Source organism: Homo sapiens, chromosome 17 (assembly GCF_000001405.40).
Source record: "Homo sapiens chromosome 17, GRCh38.p14 Primary Assembly".
NCBI classification, from domain to species: domain Eukaryota; kingdom Metazoa; phylum Chordata; class Mammalia; order Primates; family Hominidae; genus Homo; species Homo sapiens.
In genome coordinates, this window is record NC_000017.11 from 48,574,970 (window position 1) to 48,588,310 (window position 13,341).

At 52.8% G+C, this 13,341-nt stretch overlaps 2 protein-coding genes, 1 long non-coding RNA gene and 1 other non-coding gene across 12 annotated transcripts in view, besides 3 other annotated features; all 4 read right to left on the reverse strand.

The window, feature by feature from the left end:
- HOXB3 (homeobox B3) overlaps positions 1-13,341 on the reverse strand; it is a 41,372-nt gene that overhangs the window by 26,100 nt on the left and 1,931 nt on the right. For 2 of the 9 annotated variants that reach the window (NM_001330322.2, XM_017024560.2), the window contains exon 1: positions 7,323-7,410. The exons of 4 other annotated variants lie outside the window; for them this stretch is intronic. The gene's annotated coding sequence lies outside the window, so the exon portion shown is untranslated. Of the gene's footprint in view, positions 1-73; positions 129-7,179; positions 7,411-13,341 lie in introns of those variants that run through there. 3 more of the 9 variants (NM_001330323.1, XM_047435899.1, XM_047435901.1) reach the window with 2 other exon arrangements.
- On the reverse strand, positions 538-3,381 carry HOXB4 (homeobox B4). Its single transcript, NM_024015.5, has 2 exons — positions 2,894-3,381; positions 538-2,051 (listed from the first exon to the last, which is right to left on the reverse strand). The coding sequence occupies exons 1-2, from the start codon at positions 3,348-3,350 to the stop codon at positions 1,753-1,755; spliced, it is 756 nt and encodes a 251-aa protein (NP_076920.1). The 5' UTR covers positions 3,351-3,381; the 3' UTR covers positions 538-1,752.
- MIR10A (microRNA 10a) lies at positions 4,869-4,978 on the reverse strand. The gene has a single exon (NR_029608.1). It is a non-coding gene; the product is annotated as a microRNA 10a (primary transcript).
- On the reverse strand, positions 5,348-9,955 carry HOXBLINC (HOXB associated long intergenic non-coding RNA). The gene has a single exon (NR_183916.2). It is a non-coding gene; the product is annotated as an HOXB associated long intergenic non-coding RNA (long non-coding RNA).
- Positions 6,983-7,795: an enhancer, noted in NCBI's record as "H3K4me1 hESC enhancer chr17:46659314-46660126 (GRCh37/hg19 assembly coordinates)". NCBI's record gives its function as "activates a minimal SCP1, AML or CMV promoter by ChIP-STARR-seq in primed H9 embryonic stem cells {active_cell/tissue: H9 hESC(primed)}" and the evidence as "EXISTENCE:reporter gene assay evidence [ECO:0000049][PMID:30033119]".
- Positions 7,269-7,318: a silencer, noted in NCBI's record as "silent region_8653". NCBI's record gives its function as "represses an Ori minimal core promoter by ATAC-STARR-seq in GM12878 lymphoblastoid cells {active_cell/tissue: GM12878}" and the evidence as "EXISTENCE:reporter gene assay evidence [ECO:0000049][PMID:35858748]".
- Positions 10,621-10,740: an enhancer, noted in NCBI's record as "active region_12333". NCBI's record gives its function as "activates an Ori minimal core promoter by ATAC-STARR-seq in GM12878 lymphoblastoid cells {active_cell/tissue: GM12878}" and the evidence as "EXISTENCE:reporter gene assay evidence [ECO:0000049][PMID:35858748]".

Below are 13,341 nucleotides of genomic sequence, written 5' to 3' on the forward strand. Positions count from 1 at the left end.
GCAAACACCCAGAAACATCTGTGCAAAAAATTATACTCATTAAAGCCTTAAACACCTCAGAGGAAAGCGATACCTTCTTATGCTGCGAGGAAAGAGGCCAGCCTCATGGAATCCTCTCTCGGAACTTTAATAACCAAAGAGCCTTCTGTCTAAAAGGAGACAGCTTAACCGCATTTTATTTGCTTATGACAAATAAATCACGATATGAAAGGCTTTGCCGTACTTAAGCCTCTTGTGTCCTACAATGAAACATTTTCCCCCATTAGGGACTGGAATCAGCCTTCCCAGTCCTTTCAATCCATTTTTGGACTGAAGGGAAAAAATTAAAAGCCCCAAAACAAAACACACCCACCCTAAAAGGAAAACAAACCAGCCACCACAATTTGGAGTCCTCTGAGATAAAAATTCCCATCAGACTCTTTGAAAAAAATCTTCAACCACACACAATGTGGGGCTGAACCCAGTAGGGTGCTTAAAATATACACTGGGTGGCATTTGTCCATATCTTTACGCCAATGTTTCAACAAAAACACGCTGTGCTGGTCACAAGAAACCAAACATTTATTTCTATTGTCACTCTGTACAGCACACAGATATTCACACATACGAAGGGTTCTAGACTCAAGCAGCCCCAGAGGTAGGAAGGGGCCTGGTTTTGGAATGTCAGAAAGAGAAAAGGAGAGAGGACTCACATGACACAAAAAAATAGTAATAATAATATTATCAATAATAATAATAAACGATGCAACATAATAAACTATGGGAGAGGGCTCTGCAACATCCTCCTCCCAGACTGGGAGGGGCACATTTTATTTCCTAGTTTCACATTCATTTTCAGTCTAGGAGAGAGGCTTCTGCTGTACAACTCTGGACTGGCAGAGTAGTGCCCAGCTCCCAGAACTCAACTGGCCCCTCACCCTGCCAAGCATGGCTTGGCTTGGCCTTTCAGAGGAAGGCCCTCCCGGGTCTCTGAGTCTCTCTTTTTCCTTGGACTCAATTTTCCTGCTCACTCCTGAGTTGTCAAGGCCACCCCCTTCCCTACTTGCTCCCCTCCTCTGTTGCCCACCCCCAACCCCACGGTGGAAGTGGGTGAGCAGTCATTCTGGCCCTCAGTGAATGGGCACGAAAGATGAGGGAGAGTGTGTGTGTGTTACCGTGACCAAAACACTGCACTATCTGGCAGTCAGAGGGTGCTTTCGCTGGGTATCGGGAGTGGGGGACAAAGAAAGGAAATCCAGGCTGTCTTCCAGCAGCGGCAGTAGCAGAGGCGGAGGCGGCCGAGCCGGGCCTCATTTGTTAGCGGGTGTCGAGGTAATGGTCGCCACCGAGGCCCGTCTTCTCCTCGGCAGAGGAAACAAGACAGATGGGCCTGGACCTGGCGTGATTAAAGATGAAACGTGGATCCATCTTCGCCAAAGCTGAAAACGAGGAGCTGCAGCCTCCTCCTATTTCTCTTTCTGTCTTTTTCTTTCTTCCTTCTTCTTGCTTTTTCTTTTTCTTTTTTTTAAGAAAGAAAGCAAGAGATTTGAATCTTGCTTCTGGGGGGGCCTCCCCGTGGCCCTCTATTGTCATTTCTATAAATAAAGCTTCCCCTCCCCCTCTTCTGCGTTTATTCGTATATAAAGTGTGGGGGAGGGCAGATAGATTTTTCCGGGGCCCAGGCCCCAGGGCCCCCTCCTGTCCCCCCACCCCATCCCCTGCACTCACTGCCCACCCCCACCCCGAGGTTCGTGGCTCCCGCGTGCGGGGGCACTAGAGCGCGCGGGGGCCTCCATTGGGCCGGCCAGGGGGCCCTCCGGCTGAGCCTGCCGCACCACCCGAGCGGATCTTGGTGTTGGGCAACTTGTGGTCTTTTTTCCACTTCATGCGCCGGTTCTGGAACCAGATCTTGATCTGGCGCTCGGAGAGGCAGAGCGCGTGGGCGATCTCCACCCTCCGGCGCCGTGTCAGGTAGCGGTTGTAGTGAAATTCCTTCTCCAGCTCCAAGACCTGCTGGCGCGTGTAGGCGGTCCGAGAGCGCTTGGGCTCCCCGCCGGCGTAATTGGGGTTTACTGGACACACACGGAGAGAGGGAGAAAGAGAAAGTTTTATTGCCCCCGAAAGAGAGAGTCCTTTCTTCCAGGGAACACAGCGTTTCCCTCCCTCCCTCTCCCGCCACCTCTTCTTCCTTCTGAGGGAGAGCGGGGAAAAACGAAAAGGGAAGAATGCAAGACCCAAGAATGAGAAAGAGACCTCCAAGTTTTGGAGGGCTGTGCTGTGTCCTTGTTTGGGTGTGTGGTGGGGAAGGGGGGCGTGTGAGGACTCCCCCAAGGTTTTAATTGCTCCTCTCTCCCCCTCAGCTTGGGGCCCCCAGAATGGGAGAATGAGGGGGTGGAAGAGGGAGGGGAGGTTTCCCTAAACCTTTCCTCTGTTTAGTTCCCACCCTTGCTGCTCAGATTCCAAGCAGTGCCTACCCCTACTGAAAACTTTTGCTCACTTCTCCAGCCAAGGAGTCAGACTGGAAGAAAGGAAAAAATAAATACTGGGAGTTGACTCAACTCTCTGCTTAAATACGGATTACCTCCTCCTCCTTCTCCTCCTCCACCTCCTCCACCCCTCCCCAACTTCCAACTTCATTAAGACTGTATCTCCCTGGCGAAAAAGTCGCTGGTGAGAATGGTGAAGAGGATGGGGAACCTACTTCAAAGGCGCAGGGCCCACCAGGCCATAAAAATTTATGGGGGATGTAATTATGTGGCTCTGAAAACAGGCGACCGTAAATCTCCGGCAATGGCGAGTTTATAGCGGGGACAATTGGCTTCCCCAGCTCAACCCCCCCCCAACCCATGCCTCCGAAGTCCCTTTGGTGTAAAGCTCCAGGGGTGGGAGGGGGAAGGGGTGCCCACGCACTCACCCGTGCTCACGTGAACTTTGCGCATCCAGGGGTAGACGACGGGCTCTTTGCACGCGGAGTGGGACGGGCTGGGGTGCAGGGGGTTCTGGGCGCAGGGAGGCGGCGGGGGGCTGCTGCTGACCGCCTCGCAGCGCTGGCCGGGCTCCGGGAGGAGGGCCCCGGCGGGTGGCGGCGCAGGAGCCCGAGGGGACAGACCGGGCGGTGGCGGGGGCGGCGGGGGTGGTGGCGGAGGCGGCGGGGGCCCAGGGTCCCGGCAGGCCGCGTAGCGCTGCACGGTGCACGCCGCGCGCCGCCCGAAGCCCGCCTCCGGCTGGAAGCTGCTCTCTCGCCTCTGGCCGCCGGCGTAGTACCCGGGCGAGTGGTCGCTGGGTAGGTAATCGCTCTGTGAATATTCCTCGCATGGAGGGAACTTGGGGTCGACATAGTTTGAGTTGATCAAAAAAGAACTCATAGCCATTAATTTCTGGGAATTGCCCACAAAATATACTAAAATTTATTCCGACCCCTGACTCGTTTTCCTGTTTCCGAAAGCCCTCCTACTTACTGTCAAGTGAACAAAGTTAGGCGCCCACGTGATCCTCCGAGCCAATGGCCGCCCCGCCTGCGATTCCCGGATAAGGAAATCTGCTCACCCGGACCCCACTCCAGCCAAAGAGGTTTATTTCCCCTTCTTCCCTTCCCCCTCCCCACCCACCCACCCAACACCAGGATTTACATAGGGCTCCTGCGGGGCGACCCCCTCCTTGCCTCGCTCTCTCCGGGATCAGAGAGAGAGCGAGAGAGAGAGCGCGCGCAGGTTGCGACTGGAGGGCCTGTTGGGGCGCTAGGCAGAGCGCAAACCCTAGATCCCTTAAGAAGTTGGGGCTCCCGGTGTAGCCCTCCTGTTCTGCCTCACCTCTGCCCAGCATTCTGTACCTTCCAAAGGCCCCAGTCTCCTCCCCTCGGCGGGAGGGAGCGCTAGCACCCTGCGTCTCTATGGGGAGTTAGGTTACTGGCGGGTTGGGGGCTCCGTCTCGAAAGGGGAACCCATACGGGGGCCAGAGCACAGAGCTTGGGGCTTTTCTCTGCAGCTGGATGGGGAAGGGTAGGGGTGAGAGAGGAGGCGTCCAGAGCTAGAGGGCGGGTGCGCAGAGGGACTTGTCAGAGATGAATGGAACCGCGGGCGGATCGATAGGAAATTCATGCACTAATTCGGGGAGACTTCGCCTTCCAAATCTCATTTAGCTGCACGGTTAGCTAGACTGTGTCCGTCAGTCCGTCTGTCCCCCTTCTCCTATCCACTCCTCCCTTTAACCCACACGGCCCAAGCCTGGAGAAACGACTTGGTTTCCCACACTATAGACAGAGCGCTGGGGTAAAAAAACCTGCAACTTTTGAGAGCAAAATTGATTAGCAATTTGCTAATTCCATAACCACCCGAGCAATACTAACCATGGGTCCGAGACGTTCTAATTGTCGCCGCCTCCGCGGCGAATAGAAATCTCACATCCCTTTGATACTGGGGATACAGCCATAGAGGTGACCCACACAGACAATAACACTCCTTGGTAATCGAGTATTTCCAGGTCATCTTGTTCTGAACTGAAACGGAAAGGCGGCCTCAGCATCCGTTTGTTAAACAAATTTCCTTTGCCTTCTTCGCACACTGAAGACAAGTCATTTTTTTTCGCAATTTCCAATAAAGCCTCCCTGAGCCCAGAATAGAAAATGGGTGCGTTTGGGACGAGAAGATAAATTTAAAACTTCAACAACAATAACATTAACCTCTTAAAGAGATGTGAAAAGGGACCAAGGCTCCCAGGGGCAGGCGTGGGGAGAGTTCAGGTAGATGATTTCTCCATCTCTAACCAGTTGAAGGAGGAAAAGATAGAGGAATAAAGAGGAAGGAGTCTTCGTGTGGCCAGTCACCAGACTGTCCTCATTCAGAAAAATACTACATATACATATATATATATTTTTTTCTTCTGGAAAAATAAGAGCGGAGTGTTTATGTCAACTACATATTCCCCTAGATACGAATTTGTGACCACAAAATTCCTTACACAAATTCGGATCTACAGGGTATATACAGAAGACAGACAGATCTTCTTGGCCCAGAAATTTTCCAGTTCTCCTACTTTCCGCGCCTTCTTCGTTTGGGGTGTGGTTTGAGTGCTTTGGTTTTATTTCGTTTTGTTCTAGTTTTGAGCTCTGGGAACAGAAAAAGGCAGTGCGAGTCTGTTCTTGGGATTACAAGGTTTTCAATTCTCCTCTTCTATTAGAATTTCAAGTAGCCAGTTCGCAAAGGGACGAGAACCTTGCCTCCGCCGCCGCCGCGCAACTCTCGGTGGCGCATGAATTATGAGATGTAAACATTAGCTAAGCACAAAAGGAGGAAGGGTCATTCTGAGGCTGCCACGAAGTCAGATTCAGGCCTTTCTGGGTGCCTTCGCGCCCCTCCCCTCCCCCCAGGACTTTTTTTTTTTTTTTTTTTTTAGAAAAAACAAAACCCCAATCGGCTCCTCCGTGCCCCTCCAAGCCTTTAGTTTGTGATCAAACGAATATCTAGATATTTTCCAAAGCGCCTCTCAGCGAAGGGAGGAGGAAGAGGCGGCTGGGTGTGAAGGTGGTGTAATAAAAGTCCTTTTGGAAAAATTCAGTGGTAAAAAGAGAGAGAAACAGCTGTAAAGAAAAATGCTGGGAGACCAAGCAGATGGGGCCCCGGATATTTAATGACGGGCAATTCCGTTTACAACCTGAGAAAAGATCAAAGGCGTTTCATTTCCGAATGAAGGGCAATGAGGAACCATAAAAGATGCAGCCAGATGATATAGGGCCCCTCCCAGCCTCTCACACATCCTGGGAGCCAGGAGAGAGGGTCTATCCCGGGGAGGTGTGGGGAGGAACCCCATTTCCCCACCTTCCTAGCCCCAGACGGGTCCTTTCCTTCTAAACACATATGAACTCGCCTAGCCACCTGCTTGGGTTGCTGGTGGTAGGGCCAAAATGGGCATCTGGGGTTTACGAACCAACTTTCTGAAGCTCCCAGAAGCCGTGAATTTACTAAGCTGAGAGTCTGGGGATTGGGCTGGAGGGAACTGAGACTGTGAAAGCTGTGACAGAGTAAGGGAAAATGTGCATAGAAAAAGCCTCCACCCCACCCAGACTCCCTACTCAACTCCCTAGGTCTGAGAAATACTTGCATCTTTAGTGAGGAAGTCAAAATAATATCAATTTCATTAACAAATACAGGAACAACACAAAAACAACCCTCTAACTGCAACACTCCAGAGATCTCTGCCTATGCCCAGTCCTGGGACCTTGCAGGTGGGTAGGAGGAGAGTTCCCACCTGCCCACAACTAGGTCCAGAGACCCTCTGATTTTCTTTTAATCTTAAATCTAGGAATTGCCAATGTTGGCCTCTGGGCCTGATTTCTAACATCAACATTCTCCCAGACAGGCTGAACTCACACATATTTGGGAGAAAAAAGCAAACTATCACACTATGGTTGTCTTTGCCAAGAGAGGGTCCAATAGGTAATCTCAGACCCCCATCTGGGCACTCAGGGAGACTAGAGTCTGGCCCAGGGCCCACAGACAAAATGCGCTGCTAGGATCCCCACCAGCTCCCTAGCGTCAACCAGGGACCTTTCCAAATCTTGTCATAGGCCACTTAGGGTCTCCAGGACCCACTCCAACGGTCCAGGCCCCTCCCCCACCCCATACCTCCTGTCCTTCTCAACTCGCCAGCTCTCGGAAACCCGTCCAACCCGTCGGCATTTCGGAAGTTTGGGAGGGCCGCTGGGCCGGCGGCCGGGCCTCTCTGCTGCTCTACACTTCACAAGGGATGCGGCCCAGGTGCCCCAGCACCCCAAGAGAGAGGAACAGGCGGCAGAGCCACCGCGGGTTTGGGTATCCTTGATCCTGGCGCCCAAGAGCAGAGATTTTTCTCCTCTGCGCCCTGGAAGTCACCACCTGCCAATCCCACCAAGGCGCCGCACCCCCCTCACCCCTCCAGCCGCCTGAGATGGAGAACAGGGTTTATGGGCGACTCCCAGGACGGGTTTCACCGGAGCGGGAGGCTGCCTCTCCCCTTCACCGCCCAGAAGGATACGAACAGCAACACGCATAATAGTAAAATAAGAGCAGGGGCTGCGCGCGAGCTGAGCCACCTCCCCTGCGCTCCCGGGTCTTTCCGTGGCTTCCCAGCCGCCTTCTCCTGGCAGCCACAGGTTGCTAGCGTGACCTCGCCCCTCCCAGCCACCCTCCGCCGTCCAGGCGTGCCCAGTCCGCTAGGAATCATCACCTTTTGTTGGCGGGGAGAAGGGACTCAGCGAGGGAGCGAAACCGAAGGCCCGAGCGGAGGCGAGTCCCCAGCCGGCCTGCGCACCGGCGGCGGCGGCGCGGAGGAGAGAAAGGCCCAGAGGGGGCGCGGGCGAGGGTACTCACCGGGAGGCTCCCCAGCCCCGCCGGCCGCCGAGCCGCCCGCGGACGCGCCGGGCAACAGCTGAGCTCTCTCCTGTCCACTATTGTGTGTCCGGAAAACCGGACCGCGGCGGCGGACACAGCCACGGGCTCCCTCAGAAGCCGGAACGTGACTTTTTTTTTTGGTGTGTTTTTGTTTTGGAAGCGCAAGTTTTCGTGTTAATCTCATACTTTGGCAGTCTTTGTTAAACAGCTAGGCGCGTCACGAGGCTCTCAAACATTTTAATAATTTTTAGACGCCGTGACCTGCGGTTCACCTCTCTCCCAGCCTCCCCCACGAGCAGGCAGTTACTATAATATGCTCGCGCAGTTCGCTGGGTCATATTGAATTTTGCGTAGGTCATTACTTGGGAAAAAAATGACAGAGCAGAAATTTGATTCAGCTCATCCTCTCCAGCTCGACTTTTCGCCAGAGCCTTCTCTTCTCTTCATCCAACCCCCACCCGAAAAAAGTCCCATTCGGATAGGAGTCAGTCGGCCACGCCCCTGTTTTGATTTTCCATCATTCCCATATTTTGTCAGCTCGGGTTCCAGAGAGAGTGTGGGGTTTCATGTGGGATCCTTTTGAGGCCTGAGAATGAGGCTGGCACGGGGAAAACTGAAAGCATGGCTTTGGGCACCTGGGCCCCAGAGAGCAGGCCTGAGCAAGAGGCCCCTTCCCTGAACCTTACCCCTAAATGCCTGTATGGCCAGGGCCCGGATCCCCACCCCATTGCACACTCCATCTGCTTTATTTGCTCCCCCAAGTGTCAGAGATATCCTCATTTCTACAAAAGCTTTGGAAGCTCCAGGGCCTAGAAATGACCACTCCACCTCTTGGGGCCAAGATTTTGGTCCACACAACCCAGCAGGTTTGGGGAAGATAGAACCCTGAGAGAGGTGCTGGGCTGGGCTGGTCAAAGCCGGCGACATAACTTTCAGAGCTTTAACTGTCCTTTAAATACAAAACAATAGCTTCCCCCTCCCCCCGAAGAATCGTTCTCATCAATACAGTAACACTTTTGCCTACCCCCATCACCCACACAAGGAGGTTCAGGAGCAGATCAAGAAGGCATTTAAAATAGTGAGATTTTCTTGGGTTTGTCTCTCCAGGATTAGAATCTGGTGGATTGCCTACAACACACTTCTCCCTTTCTCCAGCTTCCTAGGGTCCTGCAGAGGTGGGTCAGGTGACTCCCTTTCCTCCCAATTCAAGTCTACAGACTGAAACAGGGCTCCAGCCTAGTTGGTAGGGTGGTATCCTCCTAGTACGGAGAGGTCAAGAAAGAACTCCCCAAGGCACCCAGCTTGGTCCAGAATGGCAGAGGCCACTTCTTCCCCATCCTGGTCCTTCTAGCCCAGGACCTTGGGCTGCTCCAGTCTATACCTAAATTTGCTAACGTTCTGTGCTGGAACAGAAGGAGATGGATTCTTCAGTTCAGGCTTTGACATCTGTCTCTTCAGGACTCCAGGAATTCCTTCCTGGCCTGACACTGCAGAGAAACTCACCTAAGGACTAAGCAGAAATAGGGACCTTCACCCAATTGGTTTAGTCAAAACCCTGGGTTAAATCTATTTGAAATTTGATATTAAACCTTTGTCTCTTCTGGCCATGTTTCAAAAGGCATCTTTACAGAAACTCTCAGGTTATCTCCATCCTGGAAGGAAAAACGCCCACAGTGTACCTCCTATAGTAAATGCTTGGAAGAGCAGATAATGACATCTCATAATACAACAGTCATTTAAAGACCCAAAATAGACATATGCCCCAGTGTTATAATTACTGAGTCTCTCTAGGCATTTGCTCATGAGCTAAGTTTAATGTATGGATTCAAAGTTCATTTCAGGTTGTCTGTTTCAACTCCCGTAAAAAAGATCTCCGTGAGGCCATTTGGTATTTTTCCTTTGCATTTCTCCTCCCTCATCCAAATAGGAAGAGAAGGAGTCAAGATGAACACACAAATGGAGGCTTGGGAGAGAGTGAGAGAATTAACAAGCTAATCTTTCAGTAGGCAAGTTCTTAAACTGGAGCAATTTGGAGAGAGGAATGAGAGTTTGGAAAGGCTCCAGTGTTGGCCCATGCTCATGGACCCCACCTTCCTGACACAGCCTGGGGGTTAAGGGTTCTTGAAAACAGGCCTGCCTCTCCCAGGGGTGGAGGATTGAAAGAGCCAGTAGTTTGACCCCTTTAGGGCAAGCAGAGTGAGTTGATGTTGGTGAAAATCAAACCTTCACATTGGAAGTATTCTTTGGCCCTGCCAGAAGTCCTACAAAGACGTGGGGGTAATTTAATTGAATTTCTAAAATGTGTGTGGCTAGGAAGGTTTTAATTAAATTTAATATGGTGACTCAAAGATTATCTTTGGAAGAGAAAATTGCTCAGAGGGTTCACCACACCCTTAAGCGCTGTCTTTTCTACAACTCACCACCACCACCACCAGTCTCGCCCTTTTTGGAGAAGGGATTTTTCCTTCCTCAGTTTCCCTTCCCCAGATATCTGCCTCTTCGCTGCCCATTTCTGCTCCCCCACTTCTGCAACCCACAAGTCTTCCTTACCTCCAGCATCCCAGGCTCCCTCGTCCGTCTTCACACACATACAGCCCCCTCCCCCACCGCCCCACCCCGCCCCCGCCGCTAGTCGCCTCCGCCGCTCCCACTCACGCATGGTGTAAACTTTTGACCCTCCAACTTTGCGACCCCTCCGGCAATAACACTGGCCTCACCACCCAGGGTCTCATTCTGCTACGCGCCGGCCGCAGAAACCCCAGGGCAAAACGCTTTCCTTACCCCTCCCCCCTTCGCCAATGTCCCTACTACCCCAGAGCCTTAGACCTGGGCAAGAGGAGTCTTTTGACTATTAAATAACTCCTTGGAAAAAGACGCGGAACCCACCTCCCGCATTTTCAGCGGTCTCTTCTATTGGGATGCCTGGAAGGGCTTTTGACCACCCACCCTTCTTCATTTTTGACACCCGAGTGGGGCCGAGGTTGCCGGATGAGGAGACCTATGGCGAGCAGTAGAATGGGCTGACCTGGAGAAGGGCATTTCTGGGGTGAAGGGTGGAGAGAGCTTGGAGCAGGGGCTCCTCGGGAGCAGAAGGGGCCGCTGTGCTCACAGGGCTAGAGGGAGAGTTCAGTGTCCCAACGATGCGGGGGGGCCCGGGGCCACCTTGCGCGGCCGCTCGCTGACGCCTCAGAGGCCCCAGCCTGGCTGTGAACTTGGTCTAAGGCGGACTCTACTGGCAGCTCCGGGATGTTACAGCCTCTGCCTCTGGTCCAGAGCAGCGGCGGTGCGGACAACCCGTGCGCTTTCGGTTTCCCTTCCGCCCAAATATCGCCTCCCAGACCCCCACCTCTCCCTGGGAAGGATTTCCTTTCTCCCTCCTTGGGATCCCTTGGGATTCAGAAAACAGAAAAGAAAACGAATTAGAGAGATGCATGCACCTAAGGACAAGCCTGCAGGAGCCCCGAAATAGGGTATCCTCTATCATGCCTCCAAATCCCTCAAGAGGCGACGCCCCACACAGGCTGGCACTTTCCCTCCACTTCTCCCCTAGGTGTGCCTTTCCGTCCTGACTCCCCACCTTTCCAACTGGCCTGGGTCATCTTTTGGTAAGGCAAAATGGTCTGGGGCCTGCGAGGTACCTTTCCTCCCTAGATGCATTCAGCCCTACCCCACCGGGCTCCGAGGTCAGGGATCCAGGGATCGTTGCGACCAAAACCAGCCGCTGTGCTCCGAAGCCGCAAGGCTCAGCCCGGATCCACTAGGGGAGAGGCAGTCCAGAGGGCGGCCTCGCAGACTGGGAACTGTTTCCGGGGAGGAGAAGCTAGAGGATACTGCAGAGAGTGCATTTTTCTCTCCAAGAGGAACTTTAGGGGGAGAAGAGACAAGAGAGGAGACGCCTAAATCACTGAGAAAAGGAATAAGAAGAGAGGGAAGAGAAACGTTAAAACTTGGGGACAAGGTGCTTTTTGGGATCCGACAGGTTCCCGAATTGCCCGAAGTCCAATACTCTCCAGGCTCCCAAATTTCCCCTCTTCCTCTTGGAGCCTGCAATCAGTAAATTCGCCAAAAGAAAGAACGAAAGATCCGCCTAAACCTGCCGGCGTGCCCCCACCCCCGGTCTACAGAGGCGGAGGTGGCTGCGGCGGTGTGGCCGGCGGCGCGTAATGTATGCTGCAGCGGCTCGGAGCCCCACGTAGGCCGGCGCTGCTGCCCCCGTCTGCTGACCTCTGCATGATCCCGGACTCTATGAATTATTGATGAGATATGAGCGTTGATTTCCCCTTTCAGGATGCAAACTCCATTATATTGTTAAAATGGCGATTTAATCGTTGAGAATAGCTTTGGTGTGGGTTTTTTCCCCCAACTCATTTGCGCCTCCTTCCTTTTCATTTAACTCTCTTAATTAAATCCTTTAACAGATTTTAATCACTTTTTGGAGGGAGGGATAGGAGAAAGGAGAAGGCCATAAGACCATCACTACCAACAACAACGGGACGCTAAAGCAAAATAAAACAAACCAAATTCGAAAACCGTCATAAGCCTCTACCTTTGAGAAGTCGAAAGGAAGGTGAGGGGGGAGGTTAACCCCTCTAGAAAGGATGCTCACTAACCTCTGCTGGAGACAGAGCATTAGAGGGCTGGGGAAACCCACCAGAGACAAGGAAGAGTGGGGTGGGGCCTGCAGGAACGACCTGAGGGGTATTTAATCCCCCACCCCGCCAACCATTACCACCATGAGACTTGTGTGTGGAGTTGACTGTAGAGACTAAGTCATTTTTGCCCTTGCTGAGAACTCCAGGGGCTTCAAGCCTGGGGAGGGCCACAGGATTCATGTGCAGAGGGCCCTCCAATCTCAACCTCAGAGTCCCTTAGGGAGAAATATCCATTCTGCTTAAGGGGCCCCCGTTTTTCCCTTCCCCTCCCCAAACAGCTCCGTTTCCAGGCGGTGTTAATTAATATGGATGTGTAACAGCGCTGCAGCAATCAATAAGTCTCACTGTGGGCAGATCTCAGCCTCAAAATCCGATTACTCTGAAAAACTCCAAAAATGGGGAGGGTTACCAGTATCCCCTCCCTTAAAAGAGGGGAGCTCATTCTTGCTAGCCCTGTCTTCCGAGATTGACCAGGTTGGTCCCCCAAGCTGAGAAGTCCATGCTGGGGAGACTAGCCCTGGGAAGGGACTGAGTTTGGGGGGGTTGTGCTGAGCTTCTGTCTTCTCCATTGCTCAGAATCCTTGGCCTGCAATTCCCAGGGATAAAGGAACCAGGCAAGGAAAGGAGCTGCCTCTTAGATCTTCCCATTCTGCTCACCAGCCCTCAGAGAATAACTTCTCACAGCCAGGGAAGGGTTAAGTGTCCCTGCCACAGTTATGGAGAGGAAGCTGATGAAATATGGGCACTTGGAACTCCAGGCCCAGCTGGCTTTCCTGTTTACACTTCTTTATACTTCCTCCCACCCATTGGCCTCAGAGAAACAAAACAAAACAAATAACCAAATAAAACAAAACAAAAAAAATCAAAATTGAATTGTCCACCGAGTGGTGGCCAGGCTGGCCTCAGAGGGAAAAGAGAAACTGCAGCCTTAATCTCCAGCTGTCACCTCCTGGGGCCTGCCCCAGGTTGAAGATTTGGCCAGAGGGTACCGGCTTGGCTTATAGCTCAAGAGGTTGAAGCCTGGACTGGCAGGGAGAGAAAGCAGGTGGGAGAGGAGGGAGAGCAAAGCCCTGGAGAGAGTAGAGCAGCTCTCTTAGAGGGAGACAGCCTGGGAGGGCAGGAGGAGAGGACAGAGGTCTGGGGCAGAGGAGAGAGTTCTTGGCATCAGAAATCCCTTCACACCTCTCATTGCCTCCCGCAGCTTGTCCTGACTGGGGTTCAGACAGGACTGGGGTTCAGCTCAGGGAGCCTGAAGTGGAGAAGAGGAAAGCCCAGCCTAGGGCATCTTCTCCAGGACCTGCTTAGAGCTGGAGGAGACCCTTCAAGAGTTTGTTCACTGAGGTGGA